This window comes from Homo sapiens, chromosome 2 (assembly GCF_000001405.40).
Source record: "Homo sapiens chromosome 2, GRCh38.p14 Primary Assembly".
Taxonomy (NCBI): Eukaryota; Metazoa; Chordata; class Mammalia; order Primates; family Hominidae; genus Homo; species Homo sapiens.
The window spans coordinates 167,813,018-167,836,759 of record NC_000002.12 but is presented as its reverse complement, the minus strand read 5'-3'; the positions used below and the strand labels follow the sequence as shown (position 1 = coordinate 167,836,759).

The 23,742-nt window shown below is 41.2% G+C and overlaps 1 protein-coding gene and 1 long non-coding RNA gene across 6 annotated transcripts in view; one reads left to right on the top strand and one right to left on the bottom strand.

Moving 5' to 3' along the window:
* Nucleotides 1-21,986, top strand: part of B3GALT1-AS1 (B3GALT1 antisense RNA 1) — a 126,371-nt gene extending 104,385 nt beyond the window's left edge. The window contains exon 5 of the long non-coding RNA NR_131227.1: nucleotides 21,529-21,986. This is a non-coding gene — a long non-coding RNA (B3GALT1 antisense RNA 1). The remainder of the gene's footprint in view (nucleotides 1-21,528) is intronic.
* The window catches only part of B3GALT1 (beta-1,3-galactosyltransferase 1), a 581,045-nt gene that overhangs the window by 37,286 nt on the left and 520,017 nt on the right, over nucleotides 1-23,742 (bottom strand). For 3 of the 5 annotated variants that reach the window (NM_020981.4, XM_047446159.1, XM_006712819.4), the window contains one exon: nucleotides 17,967-18,088. The gene's annotated coding sequence lies outside the window, so the exon portion shown is untranslated. Of the gene's footprint in view, nucleotides 1-17,950; nucleotides 18,089-23,742 lie in introns of all 5 variants that reach the window. The other 2 variants (XM_011512085.3, XM_047446160.1) reach the window with 1 other exon arrangement.

The following is a 23,742-nucleotide window of genomic DNA, read 5'->3' as shown; positions in this document are numbered from 1 at the left end:
AATTTTTTCCTTCATTTCAACTCTGGTGAATCTGACAATTATGTGTCTTGGAGTTGCTCTTCTTGAGGATTATCTTTGTGGTGTTCTCTGTATTTCCTGAATCTGAATGTTGGCCTGCCTTGCTAGATTGGGGAAGTTCTCCTGGATAATATCCTGCAGAGTGTTTTCCAACTTGGTTCCATTCTCCCCATCACTTTCAGGTACACCAATCAGACGTAGATTTGGTCTTTTCACATAGTCCCATATTTCTTAGAGGCTTTGTTCGTTTCTTTTTATTCTTTTTTCTCTAAACTTCCCTTCTTGCTTCATTTCATTCATTTCATCTTCCATTGCTGATACCCTTTCTTCCAGTTGATCGCATCGGCTCCTGAGGCTTCTGCATTCTTCACATAGTTCTCGAGCCTTGGCTTTCAGCTCCATCAGCTCCTTTAAGCACTTCTCTGTATTGGTTATTCTAGTTATACATTCTTCTAAATTTTTTTCAAAGTTTTTAACTTCTTTGCCTTTGGTTTGAATTTCCTCCTGTAGCTTGTAGTTTGATCGTCTGAAGCCTTCTTCTCTCAACTTGTCAAAGTCGTTCTCCGTCCAGCTTTGTTCCATTGAAGGTGAGGAACTGCGATACTTTGGAGGAGGAGAAGTGCTCTGCTTTTTAGTTTCCAGTTTTTCTGCTCTGTTTTTTCCCCATCTTTGTGGTTTTATCTACTTTTGGTCTTTGATGATGGTGATGTACAGATGGGTTTTTGGTGTGGATGTCCTTTCTGTTTGTTAGTTTTCCTTCTAACAAACAGACAGGACCCTCAGCTGCAGGTCTGTTGGAGTTTGCTAGAGGTCCACTCCAGACCCTGTTTGCCTGGGTATCAGCAGTAGTGTCTGCAGAACAGTGGTTTTTCGTGAACCGTGAACGCTGCTGTCTGATCGTTCCTCTGGAAGTTTTGTCTCAGAGGAGTACCCGGCTGTGTGAGGTGTCAGTCTGCCCCTACTTGGGGGTGCCTCCCAGTTAGGCTGCTCAGGGGTCAGGGACCCACTTGAGGAGGCAGTCTGCCCGTTCTCAGATCTCCAGCTGCATGCTGGGAGAACCACTGCTCTCTTCAAGGCTGTCAGACAGGGACATTTAAGTCTGCAGAGGTTACTGCTGTCTTTTTGTTTGTCTGTGCCCTGCCCCCAGAGGTGGAGCCTACAGAGGCAGGCAGCCCTCCTTGAGCTGTGGTGGGCTCCACCCAGTTGGAGCTTCCCAGCTGCTTTGTTTACCTAAGCAAGCATGGGCAATGGTGGGTGCCCCTCCCCCAGCCTCGCTGCCACTTTGCAGTTTGATCTCAGACTGCTGTGCTAGCAATCAGCGAGACTCCGTGGGCATAGGACCCTCCAAGCCAGGTGCAGGATATAATCTCCTGGTGCGCCGTTTTTTAAGCCCGTCGGAAAAGCACAGTATTCGGGTGGGAGTGACCCAATTTTCCAGGTGCCATCTGTCACCCCTTTCTTTGACTAGGAAAGGGAACTCCCTGACCCCTTGCGCTTCCTGTGTGAGGCAATGCCTCGCCCTGCTTCGGCTCGCGCATGGTGTGCTGCACCCACTAACCTGCACCCACTGTCTGGCACTCCCTAGTGAGATGAACCCGGTACCTCAGATGGAAATGCAGAAATCACCCGTCTTCTGCGTCGCTCATGCTGGGAGCTGTAGACCGGAGCTGTTCCTATTTGGCCAGCTTGGCTCCTCCCCTCAAAAAGGCTTTTCAAGGAGGTTATGACTATCACATAGGCGTATCTATCAAGTTGTCATTTTCAGTGAAATTAATGACAAGATGTAAGACAGAGGCAGAGTTTCTTAGCTTGCATAAAAATGTCAGGCCTCTCCTTGGGCACAGATCTCAACATATTTATGAGTGTAACTAGTTTAGAAACTTTTTTTTTTTTGAGGTGGAGTTTTGCTTTGTTGCCCAGCCTAGAGTGCAGTGTTGCAATCTTGGCTCACTGCAACCTCCACCTCCTAGGTTCAAGCAGTTCTTCTGCTTCAGCCTCCTGAGTAGCTGGGATTACGGGTGTGTGGCACTGTGCCCAGCCAACTTTTGTATTTTTAGTGGAGATGGGGTTTTGCCATATTGGCCAGGCTGGTCTCAAATTCCTGACCTCAGGTGATCCACCTGCCTCGGCCTCCCAAAGTGCTGCCTAGAAACTTTATTACTATATCTTATGGGGAGAACATTTGTAGAAAGTCTAACCATTTGTAACCAAAGTAAAAGAGCCAGCAGAATCTAACCTAGAACTGAAGTCTCTATTAGGAGACTTGTCATCTTCTGGAAAAGAGACCACAATGGCTTTCAAGGACGGACAAGCCAGGACAAGCCAATCTTTCTCCATCTTCTCATTTTATGACCTTACAAAGGATGCACAATAAGGAAACCATTATTCAGACACTGCTTGCTTTTTATAAGGAAAAACCTAGGCTCCATTTGGGTGCTATTTATTATTAACTTCAAGCTTAAATTTTCTACTCTGGGCACAGATGTTTATACAGAAGACTGTTACATGTACCCAGTCTTCATGATACAAAGTGGAGGCTCCTTTTAATCTGAGTATAAAGACATGATGACCCACAGGAATACCACAGCTCTGATCTCATTCTGTTTGTTTTTGAACTCTGCCTTTTGTTAAAGACTGTTTTTGAAACAGAGACCAGCATACCCTATTTTGTGCAGCAAAGTTCCTTTTTTAGATAAGAATCTACTCTGCAATAGAGTTCTACTCCTCACTGATATAGAAATCCAACAACATTGAGCTTGTTTTTTTAATAAAAAATTCTGATGTTATCCTTACACCTCAAATTTCAGCGTTGGAAGTAGTCTTAGAGATAATTTAGGAAAATTATCTACTCTAGGTGTAAACAGTACCTTAGATACAGATGTATCTTAGGAATTACAGCAGGAGCTTCCAGTATTTCCTTTGGGAATTTGTACTCAGATCTGATCATATTTACTTAAAGATGTCATTTTTTCATGGATAGAATAGCTATTTGTGTAGTTTGAGCACGTATCCTCCAGTTTTATTTTGGGACTTGGTCCAATCAATTATCTTTTTATAGTAACTATGTTTAGATAGATAGGTAACTTTCAGTTTTCCTTTCTCCAGGTTAAGATATGCCCATTTCAATGGTGGGAGAAAAGAAGAATTTACATCACGCGTAGTTTTTCTGTTATTGCCCAGTGTCATTTTTCAATGAGCAAATCAGGAAATAGCTACCTTGGGGAGTGAGTTTCATCTGATTCATTATCACTGAAACATCTTTGGAATCTTTCCGAATCTTAAGGAATTGAATTTCCCTGAGATACCCACTGTATGACCTGCCATAATCCCTAGTGCCTCTATTTTTGTTTTTGTTAAATTAATTTCCTAGCCTGTGAGTTTCATATTCATAACCTCTGCAGGAGATACTGCCATCTGCCATACAGCTAAGCCTCCGAGCTGTGGGCTTGGAAGAATATTTATTTCAAGGACAAAGAAGCCAAGGAGGGAAGGGAGGCATGTTTATTTTCACTTTTCCCAGACCACAGTGAGAGTGAATCGAAACTCTGGCAGGGAGACTGCATTAGGTGCCAAACTGCCACAGTCATTTGCATAATGTGTTATCTAAGGTGTTGATCATCTCTGATAAACAGGCATGTTCAGTGAGGGGAGGAGAAATTACGCATTGCCCCTCTGCCTGTCCCTTAAGAAACCAATCACACTGCTCTCCATCAAGTCTGCAGAGCAGAAACCTTTTTGCTCCATTGAACTTGCTTCCCATTTCTACTTAGCAAACTGACTAATGGCCCTGGCTCGTTCCCTGCTGTCACCTCTAATGGTGCCATGTGCAGCCGCTCCTCCCCCAAAGGAAGGAACCCATGTTCATGTAATGGATTGCTTTGGGCTGCATTTTTACTTTACGTTGCTTTGTACATTTAACTACTACACTGCACTACCCTCACTTGCCCCTGTATAGAACTTTTGAAGATTGTGAAGGAACATGTTTGTTAGGAAAGCACTTTGCTGTTTAAAATCTAACCATTTGATGTTAATGCAATTGCATAGTAACTAATTTTTAATAGAGCGTTTGTTGAGGGTGGGTGTTCAGCATAAAATTTTGGTTTTAGAAACTGGACATATGTTTGCATAGTTATGCAAATGCCTTTGCTTTAACAAGTGAGTCCTCATATTTAATTGAAACTCCTCATATTAACTGTTCAGTGAAATTTGTATTTTTAAGTATATGGTGGTTAAAAGTGAGATTCTCATAACTTTGGATTTTGCTGCATTGACTTATTTTGTCCCCATTCCCATTGTACAGTAATGGTGTCATTTTGCTGGGGGATTGACAGTGGGAGGTTTGTACACCTCTTCTGGCATGTGTGTATATGGTAATTACAACTTGTGATAACAATACTACTTTTGCTAATAATGTATAGTACGTTGGTGTCAGAAACTATTCTGTAATTCTCAAGTTATCATCCTTACTTTTAGAAATAATGAAACTGAAGCCTGGAGTATTTAGAGACGTCTAATTCCATTTGGTGGAAGCACATGAAATTGTCATTTATGTAGCTTAAAAATGGTTGAACATCAGCAGCTCTCTATGGCACTTCAGGAGAGCCAGGATTCAAACTAGTGTCAGCCACAATCTATAGTCAGCCTTCCTTCCATGGTGCCATGCTGCTGCCTTATTTATTTATATTTTGTCTTATTTCAAGAATCTCACCTTGTATACATTACACACAATATATATGGCTACTGTCTGTTGACTGGCTTTTTAAAAGGGAGTTTAGAGAGTGCCACAGATTCATGTTTTGTAACCATTTGGCGAACTATTAGGTCTCAGGTTTTACCACTGTAAATCTAGGTGATTATAAAAGACTATTAGACACTATCTTTTGAGTCATTATTTTCTCTCCTCTCTACATATGTTGCAGTTTTCCAAAGTCCAAATAGCTGTCACCAGTGATGGGCTCTTCCTGAGACAGGTAAAATCTTGCATCTCTGATCTCTCTTCCTCATTTATATTTCTCTGTGTTTTCTCCAACCAGTGAGGCTCAAAAATGTCACAGATTTCATGAGATGACTGAGAAAGCACTTAGTAATCCACCTTTAAAGCGTCCCTCCCATCTCTTTTTCCCTCTATTCATATCTCCTTTCCACATTCTCATTTCTTCCCGCTGCACCACTTTCTCTTTCTCTCTTCTGGAGATAATACTCTAATTTTTTGGCCACAAGTGTTTACCTCAAATCCTTATTTTGGCCATTTTAAGAACATACCTGCCCATTCTGAAAGAACCCAGGTGGTTTTAATATTATGTCCCAAAGATATGAATTTTGAGAGCAAATCAGTGACTACACAATTTACTGTGTGATTACATAGTAATTACTCAATTTGCTTATGAACACTGAATCCTCTCCATGGCTTCCAGACAGATGTCACAGCAGATGCACCTCGTATAAAGGAGATTTTCCATTAACTGCAGTTGTAGTTGGGCTTATAACTAACTGTGGGAGCGCTGAATTAAATTGTTAATAAAGGGCACTGTTGAGAACTATTAGAAAGTATGATTCAGACAGGAGAGGGACAGCAGTTGTTAAGCATGGGAAGGTTCCCGTGAATAAGTGTGTCAAATGTAATGCTGACATTTCAAAGAGTTGATGAATACTTGGCTTTGGGGCTATGTGACAGTTATTGATAGTAATAACTAGATTTTGTAGAGAACTTGGTAGCATACAAATTTATTTCTACTTACACTATGATTATCGCCAGAATCCAGGAGGTAGAGACAAATGTCCAGAGGCTCAGAGGCTCACCCATGTTCTTACAACTGGTGTGCAGTGGCGTCCAGACCCATGGCAAGGCTGCCCTGATATTCAAGCCACTTCTCTTAGCAACACCTCACGCTGCTGCTTCCTGGGAACGGTCAGTTCAGTCAACCAATGAATTAGACTGTGCATGTATTTTTAATGAAACTGACTTGTTGACTTGCTAATTTAAAATCAAAGTGATTGAATCAGCTATTTGTGAAAACACGGGTTAAGGAAGCACTTGCTTATTTTTACATCAAACTTTTTGGTGGTATATATTTTCAAACGGCTACAGTTTGAAATCAGTTTTTTGTGCAACAGAGGAAACAGCTGAGCATGCAGCAGTCTTTTCAACTAAATTCATACACATCCAGGATAATCAACAATGGTAGCATCATCTTCAAATAGGCAGCACATGGGCCCATATTGATATTGACAGTTCACAATTGTGGACAAGTTTGAAGTAAATTAATGTACAAACTTTTCACGTGAAAGCCTGAAAGCATTTCACTGAAGGCTGGGGAACATTTGCACGTCTCCTTGATTGTCTAACCAAACTTTTTTTTTTTTTTTAAGTATGAACGAATCCCTACCCTGCCCTGTTCCCGCTTAATGTCTTTCCTCATCCAAATGACAATGGTATGTTTGCCGCACAGCCTGCCCGCTACTGACCCCTGCTCCCAGGTCTGTGAAAAAGACCCGGCCTTAGTGAGGTTTGTCATTCAGGAAGCTGCTCAAGTGTTGAGGGCTGCAGAGAATTCACTTCTGCTCAGTCCTTGAAGACATTTCTCTGGGCGTGACTTCCAGACTCTGGTGGGCATTGGCGAGAACGACAGAGAGAAATGATGCAGTGGTCAACAGGACTTCCACACAAATGTCAATGCTTGGTGAGGAAAACACTGCTTTTAATCTTCCTGTGTGGTTGTTCATAAAGAACATCCGTGCTTTCTAGACATTTCTTTTGCCTTTTCCTCTCCTCCCAAAAGACTGTGGTTACTTGTAGTCAGCCCCTTCTCCTGGCCTTTCCATTTTCTCCTCAGAAGGACCACCACTCCATTTCATTTACCTACATGGGCTTTGCACCCCTCCTTGGAGCACTCGCCCTGCTATGGCTTCTCTTTCTCACATAACTTCCCACCCCATTCTCCGCGCATCTCAGAGGACTATTCTCCCAGATCATCTCATCCTGCCCAGCAGGAAGTCACAGCTCACATCTTAGCCAAGGGGAGGGGTAGAGATGATGCCAGTGGAGAAGGATATCAACAAAGGAGGAGAGAAGGAAAGGCATCAACTGAGACTTTTCAAGAGTGGGAAAAAGAGACATGAAAGGCCTCTGGAGCCTGAAAAATGAAACTCATAAGTGGGGGAAGACTTGGCTCCCCTTTCTGTCCTGCTCCAACTTTATTTATCATACTTTAGATATCTATTTTTTTTTCTTTCTTCTTCTTTTCTTTTTTTTTTTCCTTGAGATGGAGTCTTGCACTGTCACCCGGGCTGGAGTGCAATGGCGTGATCTTGGCTCCCTGTAACCTCCGCCTCCCAGATTCAAGTGATTCTCCTGCCTCAGCCTTCTGAGTAGCTGGGATTACAGGCACCCGCCACCAGGCCCAGCTAATTTTTTGTATTTTTAGTAGAGATGGGGTTTCACTATGTTGGCCAGGCTGGTCTCGAACTCCTGACCTCATGATCCACCTACCTCGGCCTCCCAAAGTGCTGGGATTACAGGCGTGAGCCACCGCACCTGGCCTAGATATCTATTTTTATTAGAAATAATTTTTGAAAAATGTCTGATATAGTGAGTAGGACATTATAGACAATCAGTAAGAGACAGTTATTAACGTATTGCTTTTTAAGACCCGAGTAACTCAAATCAGTATTGGACAATTTGGTTCAAACCATGAAGCAAAAAGTTAGTTTTGATAAAAGCCAGACCGTACTTTTGGTAAACGTTTCTCTCTGTTATAGTACACAGATTGTGGCAGTCAGTTGTGAGGGACAGCATGACAACTTATGATGACAGTCACCAAGTACTGAAATTTGAGTATGATAATTTTAGAGACAGGACAGTGTTAATGTCAAGACCTGCATTTCAGTCCCACACACATATTACTCCTGGAAATGTTCTGCAACCTCTATAGGCCCGTTTCCTAATCTGCAAAATGAAGATCCTACAGAACAAACCACACAGGGTTGGTTGTTTCTAGCTCAAATGGGATCATATATGCAAAGCTCATGGCACAGTGCTTAGCATAGAGTAAGCACTCAGTAAAGGCTGTCCATTATTAGGATTGTGATTTTTAAAAAGAGAGCACATTCAGGTTTGTCCTTGTGAAGATATCAATTTTATGCATTTGCCTACTGATTGATTTGCTTTCCTGAGAGACAAAGAAGGGGACATGTTTTAAACGTGCCTGTTGGGAATATAGGAGCCATGAGAAACTCATCTCTTATGCAGGAAAAAATATCAGAAACCACACACTGGTAGGTTCCCATCCACTCTATGACCTCTGCCAATCATATTTCTGACCATGTCACATTCCCACAGAACACTTTCCATGAAGTGGTGTTTATTAATTCATTCGGCAGTTCATCACAGGTTAGACTTATTTCACTCGAGCTTGAGAGCAATTTTGTGCTATTAGGAAAGATGTGAGAAGTCATTTATGGGACGGCAGGTAGACTCAATTGGTGACAGGGGATTTGTTGACTGTTTCACATTATAGGGCGTTTTCCAAATTCTAGGACTAGATGGTGTATGCTAATTCATTTGACTAACAACTGTAGAGCATCCACTTCTTTTAGGCCCAGGAATAGGTGCCAGGGAATCAAAGGTACATTACACAGCATCACAGTCTGGTGAGAAACATGAGGTCTTATACACAGCTGAATAAATATTTGTTGAGGCAACTGGGAAATAAACCCTTACTTAATTCTGTGTGTTCTTAGAGAGCTTAGAGCAACCTACCCTAAGAGGGCAGGGGAGGGGGCTGAATGCTGTGGTTGTGACGGGTTTGTTGCCTGTCTCTGCTGTGCTTCGAGAGCCCTCTGTGTTGACCTTCTAGCAGTCTCTCTAGGGCTCAGTGAAACCCTCTCAGAAATAACTGTTACAAAGTCCCAGAAAAGCACACTGGGATGTGGCCAATCTCAACCCCAACAAACCACTCTTGGTGCCTTTCAAAGTCTGTAAACCCAGGAATTGTGTAATGCTCTGGTTTCCATTCCAGTTTGCTCAGTGGCTGAAGCACAGCTTGCGAAGGACTTTGGATATAGAGCATCCGAGGCCATATGCAAACACGCCATCAGAAAGTGCACTCTGAGCAGCAGCCACGCACTGAGCAGGGACTGCCAGAGAGGGAAGGGGTGGGGTGGGCGCTATTTGCAGAAAACAGGCCTGACTCCCTGCTCCTTAGCTCACTACTGCCCATAGCGAGAGCTGCTTGGCTTCATGTTGCCCATTCAGTCTCACCTAGGTGCCAGTCTAGACCAATGCAGTTCCCTAGTTAGGGAGAATTTAGGGGGCCCAAGGGCAGTAACACAGTGGCAAGGATCTCGTCATATTTCCAACTGACCGTGTGCTCAGCCTTTAGGAGTTGAGCCAACTGCATTTTGTTTTGTTCTTTGTGACTAAATAGACCACCTTGTACCCTGCTTACCGTGACTGGCACCTGTCTTGTTCTTTGTACCCCAACCTTTGGAGCCTTGTTTCTTTAACTGGCAGGTGAATCTTAAAGCACTGACTTGAAGGGCTGTTTTGGGCAGTAGATGAAATAGCTTGTGAGGCATCTGGCACAGAGAATATGTGCCATTTGTGCTGGTGTCTGAGTCTTGACCTTTGTACATTCTGTCCCACTGGTGTTCTTGGAGCCTGGAGTTCTGCCTCTGAACAGGAAGCATGATTGTTCTGGTGTCGAGGACATTTGGTAGAGTACAGTGGAAAAATACGTGATTTATTTACCAATACTGTCATCCTTAGTATCTGATGGGGATTGATTCCAAGATTCCACCATACAAAATCAGCAAATGCTTAAGTTCCTTATATAACATGGTGCAGGATTTGCATATAACCTACATGCATTCTCCTGTGTGCTTTAAATCATCTCTAGATTAGTTATAATACCTAATACAATGTAAATGTTATGTAAATAGTTGTTATGCTGTATTTTTTACTTATATTATCTTTTATTGTTGTGTTGTTATGTTTTATTGTTTCTCTTTTACAAACATTTTCAATCCACGGTTGGTTGAGGCCTCAGATGTGGAACCTGTGGATACAGTGGGCTGATTCATATGTGCCATAAACATCCCTGACTCTCACCCCATCTTTGACTTTCATTCCTTCTTTGAGCCTTATTCAATACTGGTCATCACCTGATCCCTTACACTCACCCCATTCCTGACAGGGTGTCTTCTAATCAGTTCTTGAGTTTCTTCAAGGGTTTAAGCCTCAGAGACCTCCTCAGGGGCATAGGGAGCACCAGGCTGCTATGCTAATGTGCAGGGAATTGAGTCTAGCCCACCATCTCCTGTTGCCTCCTCTTCCTCAGCTCTGGTTCAGTTGCTTGGGGAGCTGTCCCAAGAGAGATCAGGGACCAAATGACACTGGTCCCTGTCCTTCCTGTCAACTCCTCTTCCTTAGGCTCTGGAGGCTTGAGGGGAAACCTGGCCAGGTTGAGGCTGGAGAGGATCAAGCCATGAGCCCTGGAGGGTGGAGTGGTAGAGAGGACTGAGCGCAAGACCGGGAGTCAAGTGACCTGACCCATTCCCTGCCGTGTGACCTAGGCTCACCCCACATCACTTTAGGAAATGTAGGCAAGATGTAGAAACCAAATGCAGAGGTGAGGGTCTGCTACTCTTCTCAGCTGAAGAATGTCAAGGAAAGCCCATTTGAGGGAAATTGTATGGCACCAATCTCTACTCTGAATAAAAAGAAATGATGCTGAAATTAAGGCCTTAGCTTATTGGACTGAAAGAGAAGGAATCAGAGGGAAAACATTTGTAACATTTGCTCTGAATTTGTCATGGTCTAAGATCTTTATCAGTATTTAATTTAAAAGGAAAAATAAAACCACCTGGCAACCTCACAGTGGATATTGAATTACAAGCTGGATAAGTTGTTAAACACCTATGCAAGGCAACAGAGATAGAAGAGTGGAGCCAAGGGCTGTGGCACAGACTCCCTGCCCAAGCCCGAGACAAAGTCAGAGGGGCAGATGCACAATCACAGTGTCTCTCATTTCTACAGGAGCTGGAGTCAAGAGTGGTGTGCTTTCTGAACAACTGCCCTGGGTGGGTCAGAGAAAAGGGATCGATCCCTATCTCAGAAGTGAAAATGAAAAAGGTGCTCTAAGGGGAAAAATTATTTATGGTGTACTCTGAGTCTGACAACGTGGAATTAGTAAGAGAATTGTCTTCTATTGGTGGCCTTTTTATATATGTATATATAATTTATATATATATATAATTTATATATAACACACACACACACGTGCACGCACACACACACACACACACCCCTGCATATATCTTATTGGTTCTTTCTCTCTGGAGAGCCCTGACTAACATTGTCTCCTTTGCTAACAAGTTCCTCAAGCCAAGGTCCTAGGCCTTCTTTTCTTCTCACTCTAAGTTTTGCTTGTTTTCTTTTTTCTGTTTTTTTTTTTTTTTTGAGACGGAGTCTTGCTCTGTCGCCCAGGCTAGAGTACAGTGGCGCGATCTCGGCTCACTGCAAGCTTCGCCTCCCGGGTTCACGCCATTCTCCTGCCTCAGCCTCCTGAGCAGCTGGACTACAGGTGCCCGCCACCACACCCAGCTAATTTTTTGTATTTTTAATAGAGACGGGGTTTCATCGTGTTAGCCAGGATGGTCTCGATCTCCTGACCTGGTGATCTGCCCACCTCGGCCTTCCAAAGTGCTGGGATTACAGGCAGTTTTGCTTGTTTTCTATGCAATTTTTTTTTCTGCCCATGACCTCAGTTGCCATCTGCATGTGAATAACTCTTAAGTTTATATTCTAGCTCAGAGATCTCTCTCTATGGATCTCCAGACCCACACATCTAATTGTGTACTTGGATATCTGAAGGGCATCTGAATGCAACATATGCAAAGGTAAATTCATGATCCTGCAACCCTGATCTTCTTTCATGGTTCCCCACTTCTGTGAAATGTACCTCTCTGTATCGGAAAGACCTGGAGCCATTCCTAACAGCTCTGGCTCAGCTGCTTGGGGACCTGTCCCAAGAGAGATCAGGGACCAAATGACACTGGTCCCTGTCCTTCCTGTCAACTCCTCTTCCTTAGGCTCTGGAGGCTTGAGGGGAAACCTGGCCAGGTTGAGGCTGGAGAGGATCAAGCCATGAGCCCTGGAGGGTGGAGTGGTAGAGAGGACCGAGAGCAAGACTGGGAGTCAAGTCCCGGTTTCACCTCTTAACTCTGTACCTAATCCATCACCACATCCTGCCAATGTCACTTCAGAAATTTCTCTTATATCTCTACTTCTCTCAAGCTCCACTACCACCACTCAAGCTATGGGTATCTCTTATCTTGACTCCTATATTAACTTTGCAAGTTGCAAGTTGCAAGTAGCTGCCTATTCTCAGTCTGTCCTCTAAATTTCTTTCTTTACACTCCAGCTATAGTGATCTTTCTAAAAACTAAGTCTGATCCTATCATTCTGTGCCATTATGTGTTGGAAATCATACCATGATTGGTTCCCAAGGCTCTACATGGTCTTATCCTGCTGCAGTTTTCCCCTTGCTTTCTAGACTCCAGCTAAACTAGCTTTTTCTTTTAATTCCTGAAAATGAAGTCCCCATCATGGGTTCTTTGAATATACTGTTTTTACTCTAGTTTTAAGAATTTGGAATATTCTTCCCAACTTCTCAGCTATCATATCAGGAGTCATTTCCAGAGGAAACTGTTGTGTTCCACACACCCCTTCCTCAGCCTAGTCAGATTCCTTTATTACACAATCTCATAGTATTTCTCTAAATCAAAGCAAATAATAATAGCTAAGAATTATCACGTGCTTGCCAAGTTCAAGTGTCAAGCACACTGCTAAATATTTTATAATTGTTATATCTAAATATTATCTAATTTAAAATTAGAGAAATAGCCAGTATTATCATTCTTATTTTCCAAGAGAGGAACCAGAGAACCTGGGTGATATGCTGACAGCATATTCAGCAGTGTGATGAGTTTAGTGGATATTTGGTTCCCCCACTGGCCTGTGTACTTGGAATGAGCTGGGGCCACTGTTCATGGATCAGCACTGTTAGAGGACTGCCTGGCATGTAGAATGTGTTCCATATGTACTTGTTGAATGAAATAATGAATATTCAAATGAGAAATGAACCAGGGCATATTTTAACATGAAAACTGGGTATTCCTTTTGTTCGCTATACCAAATTAGTCACCTATGAGATTGTTTACAAAATTCTAGACAGCTGCTTGCAAATGAGAAAATGGCATTCCTAATATTGGAGATGCTTTAGAGTAGCCTCCACTTTTCATTTTAATGACCATCTGCTCCATTTCCAAATGAGGCACCAACTCAGTTTAATTTTACACACAGTTAAGAATGATTTTTTTTTTAGTTCCAGTCCTTTTGGGGCTTCTAAAAGCACACACACTCAAGCACACACTTAGAAAGATGCATACTCTCTGTTAGGTCCACACCAGCAGCTGTAACAAATAAGCCCTAAATTTCTAAGCCTTAACACAATAGGTGGTTATTTCTTGTGTAACAACCTAGCGTTGCTGCTTGGCCAGAAAGCTTTTCACCTGGTGATTTGGGAACCCAGGCTTTCTTCACCCCATGGGGCCCCCACCTGGGGGGGTCTCAGAGCTCCTTTACTGATGGCAGCAAGGCAAAAAGCATAGAGGAGGCATACCTCCTTCCTCAAAACCCTGGCTTCCAAATGAAGCATGTCACTTCTACTCATTTTGCATTGCTAGAAATTTATTATGTGGCCATGCCCAACTCTAAGGAAGGCTAGGAAATGCGGTCTATCTATATGTCCAGGAAGAAAAAAGAGAAAACACATCTGATTGAATCATCAGCATTCTCTGTCCCACCCTTGTCCTCATAGTACAATGCAGAGAGATGCTGTAAGATTAGTAAAAAGTGCCCTCGGGTAAGGGAAGAAGGAGCTTAATTTTCACTGTGGACATCTGAAAAGGCATGTGGAGGAGTGAATTTTGAGTGGGGCTTGAAGAATAAGCAAGTCCTTGATAGGAAGAGATGGCAACAGGCATAACTGAGATGAAAACCAGTGCCAAGAGAGAGGAGGTCTGAAGCCAGGTGGGAGTAAGAAGGCGAAAAGAAATGTATGCCTGTGCCTTGGTCTGTGTGTAGGCAACTCAGAGTCAAGTGTAAATGTTATTTTAATAATCTCTTTGTCTTGGTTTTCCTGTGCTCCTTCTTTAAGTAATTAAATAACAAACAGAATCCCACCCTCCACCGTGAGTATCTTGGTCCCTAATGTGAAGATATGAAATAATTAGAGGGTGCGCTGTGTAAGAATTTTAATGTCATGGAAACTTCTACTTTCAAGACTGTGTTAATTACACAGGATGAGGTGGAACAAAGGGAGGATGCACAGTTAGCAAAGTACAGCCTATTATAACCAGCTCTGTTTAGTTTAGCACCTCTTCTGAACCTGGATATGTAATAAATCAATATGTAATAGTGACCTAGCATTTATTTTTTAGAGAACTCTTAAATTTTGGTAATGCAGGATTTTTGGAATGTGAGATTTGGCCATTTTGGATTTGACTATAGGGATGGTACAGGAGACTTTGACATTCTAGTCTACATAATAAAGAGGAAAAAGCAGGGTTTTTAGAGGGAGAAGACCTCTTCCTTGGTCTGCCACTCACTGGCTGGGTGATCATAACTTCTCTGAGCTGCTTCCTCCACTGTGTGGGGATAGGGGAACAGTAATGCATATGAAAGCACCTAGCACTAAGCCTAGACTATATTAAGGATACAATTTTAATTTTAGATCCATTTCCTTTCCCCTTCCCAACTTTCCTTTTCTTTAGTGAGATTTCACTCATCTCAAATAAAAATCCTTAAGACTTTAAGAACTGTACAAGAATGACTGTAATAACCGACAGATGTACTTCCTGTAAAGCTACCAAACTACAATAAAGGCAGTTATAATATCAGTGGCTCTATCTGAGCAGTGTCAAGGATAAAAAAAATACCTTCCTAGGCTGGGTGCAGTGGCTTACGCCTGTAATCTCAGCACTTTGGGAGGATGAGGCGGGTGGATCACCTGAGGTCAAGAGTTCGAGACCAGCCTGGCCAACATGGTGAAACCCTGTCTTTACTAAAAATATAAAAATTAGCCAGGCATGGTGGCACATGCCTGTAATTCCAGCTACTTGGGAGGCTGAGGCAGGAGAATCACTTGAACCCAGGAGGCAGAGGTTGCAGTAAGCAGAGATCACGCCATTGTACTCCAGCCTGGGACACGAGTGAAACTCCGTCTCAAAAAAAAAAAAAAAAAAAAAAGTACCTTCCTTGTCAAATCTCATGAGGGCTGACTCAGCTCTTCTTTTCTTCCAAAGAAGATAAATTGGATATCGTGCAATTTGCTTTCTGCTTGGGGGTTTTGTTTTGTTTGCAAACAAGATCTTAAGTGCAAAAGACTTAAACATTCAAGGGCCTATGATGAGTCCCATAAAAGTTGGGCTTTTCACTAGCTTCTGTTGCCAGAATATTAGAAATTGATATGAAAAACTGAGAGCTTAAAAACTGCACAGTATTACATATGATTCAATTGCAAAGTGCTGTGAACTGCCCATCCCAAGCCTCAGCTATGAATGGCCTATACACCCAAGTGCATCTCAGTATTGACTGAAAGGATAGAGGCTCTTAGCTCTTGGGAAGGCATTAGGATTGCATTATCATATCAATAGCACACATGCAAAGTTCTTGATAAAAACTATCATAATCCAGAGGCAGAGATAAAATATGAGAGTTTGATTTGTGTAAACAAATCAAAAGCATTTAGAGTCAAGCTACTTAATCTGTCTTAAAGCATCGCCAGGAATATAAACAAACATCAGAACAGCCTGAGGCAGGCAGCCTGTAGTAGAAGGAGAACTCTAATTTGCTACTTTTTCTTGCTTTGCTGTAATCCAGCCATAATGGCTATCTTTCAATTTTACAAATCAGCGAAGCTTAACGCTTTTTGTCTTAAAGCCCCTAATAATAATAGTCAGGATAGTCTCAGTTACGCTGCACTAACAAATAGCTTCCATATTTTAGTGGCTTAAGACAATTAAAGTTTGTTGTTTGCTCAGGTTACAGGTCCATTGTGGGTCCATGGGTTGGGGGGACGGAGAGGGGCACTCTGTTCTTTGCAGTCACACAGGCTCCAGGCTGAAGGAGAAAACCACACCTTGAGCCACATCACCAGTCAGAATGTCACAGGGGAAGGGAGCCAGGGAGTCCTGCAACAGCAATTAAATGCTCCAGCATGGAAGTGCCATAGATCCTTTCTACTCACAACTCACTGGTCATCCCACATCCCATAGCCCCAAGTTATCTGGTCCTTTCATGTGCCCAGAAGGGAAGGGAAGCAGGGAGAGCTCTCTTGACTCTCACACCTCCCCTAACCACCCTTTCTAAAGCAGGTTCCACCTCTTCACTACCTGAGCACCCTGTTTGTTTTCTTCATAGTGCTTATTGCAATTTGTAATTGTATTATTTATTTATTTTCTGTTTTGTTTTTAGTCTGTTTCCTCCATTGGACGCTAAGATCCCTAAGAGGAAGTATTATTTATACCAGCAGGCTGATTCCATAAAGCTGTTCTCAAAAGTACCCAATCGGCTTCATATATTTAAAATACTCAGTATATTTGTCTTGAACTTGGAGAATCCTTATGAGTATAATCTCATGTCTCTTAGTCTGTGTCCACCCGTTTAGGCTGTGTGCTGACGCTGCTCCACTGCTCCTCATCAGAGGGTCCTCTTGCGACTCACTGTCAGGGGCTGAAACAAACTGCACATTCCTTCCAATGCTGTCAGTAAGCGGAGGGAGAAAACTATCAACTGAAACCTTAGAGAAATCTCCAAAGGCTGTGAAAACCAACATATCCAGTGCAAATTACTATGAATTTTGTAAATAAGAACCAGGAGAGAGGCATTTGGTGAATTGGAGTTTTGTTGAACTTGCTTTTGGAAAAATAGCTCACAGGGAATTGGCTCAGAGCTACCCGCCACCTTCCACTAACAATTGTATTTCAGGGTCTGATTCTGCTTGGCATTTTGAAGACACTCTGAAATAACTGTCAATTTCATGGACAAGGAAACTGTAGTTTAGAAAGGTTAAGTAAGTGGCCCAAAGTCACAGAGGCTATGATGGGAAAGATAGGAGTGTCATCCAGGTGACCTCTTGCCAGCATGGTGCTTCTTTCCCTGAATCACAGTCCGGATAGGCTGCAATCATTTTTATTTATTTAATGTGCCATTTAGTGTATAAAGGAATATTCTAAGTATTTATCTTGCTTTTTATCACTTTAAATAAAAACATTTTAACAATTATTCACTATTTTAGAGACTTTTAATAACTGTACCATCATTTTCTATGCAAAATCCTATTATTTTCAACTGAAGTAAGAAATGATTGAAGCACAATTGCCTGTGGGATGAGTTTACTTCAGCAAAGAAGTTTCAAGAATCAATTAGTGATGGCCTTGGAGAAATGGGTTTTAAATAGGAATTGTCTTAGGTCATCTAAAGCATATCTTTAGTTACCTAATAGTTTATCTTAAAAGAGGCCACCACTAAAATGTTTCATAGACACTTGTAAGTATGAATTTTTTAAAAAGACACTCTTTTAAGCTATGAGTTTTTTTCTCCTGTATCTTTCAGAATAAAGGCTTTTTCCTGCACGTCCTACACATGTATCCTGGAACTTAAAATACAATTAAAAATTTTAAAAAAGAAATAAGGCTTTTATGGCAAGGATATTTTGCATACTATAGCAGGTAAACATTAATAAAGAAAAAAACCTAGACTTTTCTCTCTGCTCATTAGTCCTTAGACGCTGATTTCTGATTTTGTAGAGTTGCTGTTATTTTTCCTCGACGCTGGGCTGCATAACTGAGAAACGTGTTTCTCGCCTACCTGGTTTCTCGCCTACCTGTTGGCTCCAGCGTGCTGTGTTTTCCTTCTTCTTACTACAAGTTCAGGAAATCAAGCATGGTCTCCATCTGTGTGAGGAGGAGATTCAAGGTGCCCGTGCCAGGAGCAAGCTGCGTAGCCCTAAGTGGACACCAAGAAGAGAGAAAAATTTAGAAATAACGGAAATGAATTGGGTTCAGAGAAATGAAAACAGAACTGCCACTTTAAAAAAATATTTCTATTTAAGGACAATACAATACAAAGAATGGCATGTGGGTAGGCGTTGAATAGAGGTGGACTGAATGAAAAAAGAATGAAGAAATTAACCTCATTTAGGGTTTCAGCTGGTACTAGGATTACAAACTCAGATGCCTTCAAGCCCATGCAGGTGGTATCAATGAGCCAGCAGACTGGGTGTGAGATAATAAGGAATGGTGGGTACTGTGATGAGCTACTGAGCCCATGCCCCACCTGAAGGGGCAGCTACTGCTCAGGTCTAGTTGATGATTTTGACTGATGCCACAAAGATAAACAGGCCCAATGATGTCACAACGTCCAATTTTTAGGGAAAAACAGAAATATAGATTTTTTAAATGTGAAATATTTTGAGTTTTGTACTTTAGGATCTAATTTTAAAAATAAAACAAAACTGCACAGGTCAGACAAGGCTAAAACCAAAGTCCACGTGAGGGGTCAGGATTGGCACATGGATGGCCAGCTTTTACCTAAGGTCTTCTGCAACATCTTAACTTTCCAAGTGATAAAAAAGGTCCAGAGGGCTGAAGCTGCCTTTGGGCAAAGACATTTGGTTCATTCACGGCACAGCTGGGATTTTAGGCATGCGCACCTTCCCTTTCACTTAAGACCTTTTAGTGTCACTTATGACCACTCTGCCACTGGCTGAATCTGATCCAGACCTGTTTGTTTAAATAACAGGATGGAAGCCAACTAGACCTGCCTTCTATTGATCAGATTCTTGGGTCTCAAGCTATATATGTATACAAAGCTTCATAATAAAAAGTGGAATGTTCTATTCTAACTAACTGTTCATGTATATCATAGAGTAAGTTCTGGGTAATGCTGAGTGACTGAAATGTGATGGGTCCTCATATGAAATAAAACTCTTATCAAAGGCATTTGTTTGGGATGGTGTTTCAGCAGTGTGGCCCCATGTGAACAATATGGACAGAGGCACAAGTGGATTCCAGTGGATCCATTTGCTGGTTCCAGTTTCTGTTAAAAGACTCTCTGTTTCTATGATAATCACTGTTGTGTGATGGGTAAGTGTATGGGTTGGGTTTAGAGACTGACTCAGCCACTGATGATACTTAACCTTTCTAGGTCCCATGTGCAAAATCATGATGACGGTACCTGAATCCTAGAGTTGTCATGAGGTTCAAATAAATGAATACATAGAAAGTGCTTAGGATGGTGCTTGCATAGGTAGTCATCAACGTTAGCTAGTATTTGTAACAACTACCCACATTTACTGAATGCCTACACCAAGTTACTTATACGTATTATCTGTCATCATCTCCACAATCCTCTTAGTTTTGTATTATTACCTTCATTTTAATAATGAGAAAACATGACTGAGGGAGAGCAAGTCTATTGTTCAATGTCATCCTGGGATTAGTGGAGCCAGTGTTTGTTTGAACTTAGATCTACTCAGCCTAGACAGCTGCTTAACCTACCTCTCCAGTGCCTTGTCATTTGTTCAATTGAAGACAAATTTCAGAACTTTAAAGGAGAGCACGTCTATTTGGCCAAACAGACAAACACCAACTGCTTATCAAGTCAAATACCAAAGCAAAAGAGTCCCAGAAACAATCAAAAGTATTGCAACACTTGGGAATCCTTTGCCTTATGTAAAAAATGTCTTATTCTAATAATGGGAGTGTACCATGTAAGTAAGCATAAGACAGGAGAGCATGTAGTCAGTTTTTAGTCTGCATGAACCCTCATTCTGCTCTTTAAAGTGCATATAGCACTTACTAGATTATTTGCTTAATAATATTGATAAAATAATGGAGGTAGCTTTTAAGAATTTAAACATGTACTGAATGTTGACATTGGAAAAATAGCACCTGAAAGATTTTACTCTACGATATTTTTAAAACATTTCCTTGCTTTTGTAGAATTTACTATGGAAAGAGTGGAAAAAAACATAAACATTATTGAAATATATGAAGCCTTAATATGAAGCATCTTCTATAAAATATTATTGAACAAAGAAAAGGGAAGCAAGGAATGAAAGAAATGAGAAGTTACTGAATGCTGTCATGAGACAGACCCTATCCTAGGTATTATTATAGTCATCATAGCATTCACTGAGTGAAAAATAACCAAACCAGGGCCAAAAAAAAAAAGGTGTGGAAAATGTGTAAATAGCTAACTCATTTTTCCATGGGCAGATGCAGGTTTAAAACTTAAATCTTACTTAGATGTAACTTTTATCTTGAATATCCATTCTGTTTTGTTTTGGGATTTTTCTTTTCACACATTAAAAAATAATTTTAGCAAAGCAGAGGCAGGAAAGGAGGGTGTCCTTTTAATCAAAATACTTAATTGCCATCAATGCAGGAAAATATTAACTAGAAAACATATACATGCAAATTTTCTCTGCTTTAGAATGAACTGAACATTATCCTAAGAGATAATGACATCTATTCACAGGAATAATATAGAAAGTGGGAACGTATTGTACAAGAAAAGAGGAAAAATATAAGCTACTTTCTTTAGTCTGATTTCTAAAGTGTAATTTTAGTACTTAAGTTAGAGGCACTGCAACTTTCCAGAATATAAAATGCATCTACATTCAAATGTTGGTTTCAGAATACAAAATAATATTTCAAAGTCAAGTAGAAATGAATTTGTTCATTATCTACTCTTTTGGATAATTGCCATTATTGCTATTTCTCCTTGGGCAGATAATTGAAAATTGACTGTAGAAATTGTTGTGTTTTTCTGGGGAAATAGCTTAGACTCAACATTTGTCACCCACATTTTAATCTAGTTTACAATTTTACCAGGTCTAAAAATTATAGCTATTCTAGCACATTATTCCATTACATTTCATTAATATCACCCCTTCTTTTTCGCTTCATGTGGCAAAAAGGAATTTTGCCGGTGCTGTTTATGGCTGAGAAATCCATTCTTTCTGTATACCGACTTATGAGTGCTAGCTATGGGAGAATTTAGTGACATAATAGGATAAACAAGACAGTAATAATATTTGGACATGAGATTTAGTCTTCCCAGTTTTGCTACAGCCCTCTGTGGCAACAAAGGACTTTGTACTGTGGATCTCTAATGTCAGCATCTGGCTACATTTGATCCTGGTTTGTGTGTGGTCTGTTTGAGATAAAGGACTTAAATAAGGACCAACAGAACAAAACACAAAGCGCCACTGAGTTGCCCATTTATTAACTTATCAAGGTAAATTCTATGACTCATTAGGGAACCAGGTGGAGGCCATAGTTGATCTAATTAGTTAATGAATTTAGGAGAGAGAACAGAGGACTTTCGCTCTCTATTTTTCAATGATCATGAACTTAACTTTCAATTTCTCTTCACTATAGGTGGGGTCGCTTTGGGACTCTGAGATTCTCACGCAGGAAGTTTACTGGAGCATGTTCTTAGGAACAACACCTGTCTCTAATGTGAGAGGAGAAAGAAGAAGGCAAAGGGAGAGTCTGAACCTTGATGCAGTCACAGCACAGACCTGAGCTGACCCTGCAGGGAGCTCTGGGGCTGGGATGGTTCTGCAGAGTCCAGTGCGTGCCAGGCCAGCTTGCATGGGCTTGGGCAGAGCTGGTGGTGCGCACTTCTTCCCAACTTCACATTCAATGACATCATGTTGATATCTTGAAACTGGTGGCACATACGTTTATAACACAAAAATAGGCAATGCTAGAAACCAGGGGTTCTCCCACTTCCCTTGCCTAGAAAGCTGGTTTGCCAGAAAAGCCACAGTGAAGAAAGATTGCTTCCATATCTATCTCTGTGCCCAAATTCATGCAATAAATTCTTCGCTGTTGTTTGTTGTTGTTTTTGAGATGGAGTCTCACTCTGTCACTCAGGCTGGAGTGCAGTGGCACGCTCTCGGCTCACTGCAACCTCCGCCTCCCGCGTCCAAGCAATTCTTCTATCTCAGCCTCCCGAATAGGTGAGACTACAGGTGTGTACCACCAAGCCTGGCTAATTTTTTTTTTTAGTAGAGACGGGATTTCACTGTGTTAGCCAGGATGTTCTCGATCTCCTGACCTCCTGATCCGCCTGCCTCAGCCTCCGAAAGTGCTGGGATTACAAGTGTGAGCCACCGCTCCCGGCCCCAGTAAATTCTTAATTGTTAGCAGTGCCACAGTAGAAGGAATTCTATACAATAATCCTAAGTCTTGTATTGTTATAGCTTCTCTAGGCCAAGCCTCCTCTGTTCTACCAAGTATTAATCTAATCTCAGGATTTCTATCCCTGCCATGCTATCAGTGATTTTTCTTACTGCCTTTCTGAAAGAGGCAACTAAGCTCCCATGAAAATGGAACAATCTCTTTAAGATACAACTTAGTGATATGACCTCCAAAGCCCAAGTGACAGAGTTATCAAAGAAGTATCTAATAAGTACTAGAACGATCAAACAATATCCTGAATAAAGTACTTAGAAAGAAAAAAGAAACCCAGCTGAAATGATTACTGAAATGATTTTGTTTAAATGTATTGCTATGCCTTTACTTGTAAACATGGTCATTCATACTAATGAAGTAGAATAACAATAATTATGGCATGTATTTGTTTAATGAAGTCATAAAAGATTTTTGCAGCCAGTTTAGGGTGCAGAAGGTAGGAGAAGATTTTAGATACATTAGCCAAGAATTCAACCAAAGAATTTCAGTTAAAATCACTCCAGCTATTTTAAAAGTTGATTTTAAACTTAGTCCATCCTGAGAAGGATATTGCTGTATGCAACTCAATATCCAATTGCTGTATGCAAATACTATTATCTTTAAGAAACTCAGAGAGCTGGTATGGGAGAGTTCACCATTAGTTTGGGTAGCAGAAATATTTAAGGGTACTATTCTGAACAAAGCTGCACATGTATCAGAGTTCTTTCTTCTTCTGAGCTCTTTATAGAAAAAGGCAACTAAAGGAAGATCCAAGATTTGACAGGCACAGATTATACAGAATTTCTTCTCAGCTTTGCACCCTACATCCTATACCCATATTAACTCCTGGCAATGTAGTAATTGCAAAAACATCAGTTAGTTAGGCAATCAATTTATGAAAAAGAAATAAATAGGCATAAAATGGGGGGGAAGTTGTCCTGATTTTAAATAAGGCTAGAATGTGGAAACTCAATAAGACAAGCATGGATGATTCTGAAATTTAGCGATTAAAAAGTGACTCAGTGTTGACTATATCTATTCTATCGGCTACCACATTTCTATAACAAGCATCAAAGAAGACAGAAAGTGAGGACTCCAACAAATATTCTTCCATGACATGAAATCATTGGGAGCAAACTGTCTTATACATCACAGCTCAGCACAGAGTCTATTTCAATATCATCTTCTTAAATGAATTGATGAGATATAGCTAGGGCCACATTTGGATTCTGTAATCAGTTTCTTATTTCCTCTCCTGTTATATTCATTGCTTCATTCAAAAAAACTGTGTTATTTTCTGTACTGTCATATTCTACTAGGGGCTAGGGATACAGAGAATCTTGTGTCTTTCTGAAGACAGATATCATCCAGATAATAAAGTACAGTAATGGAGATAATAAAAAACAGAGGGAC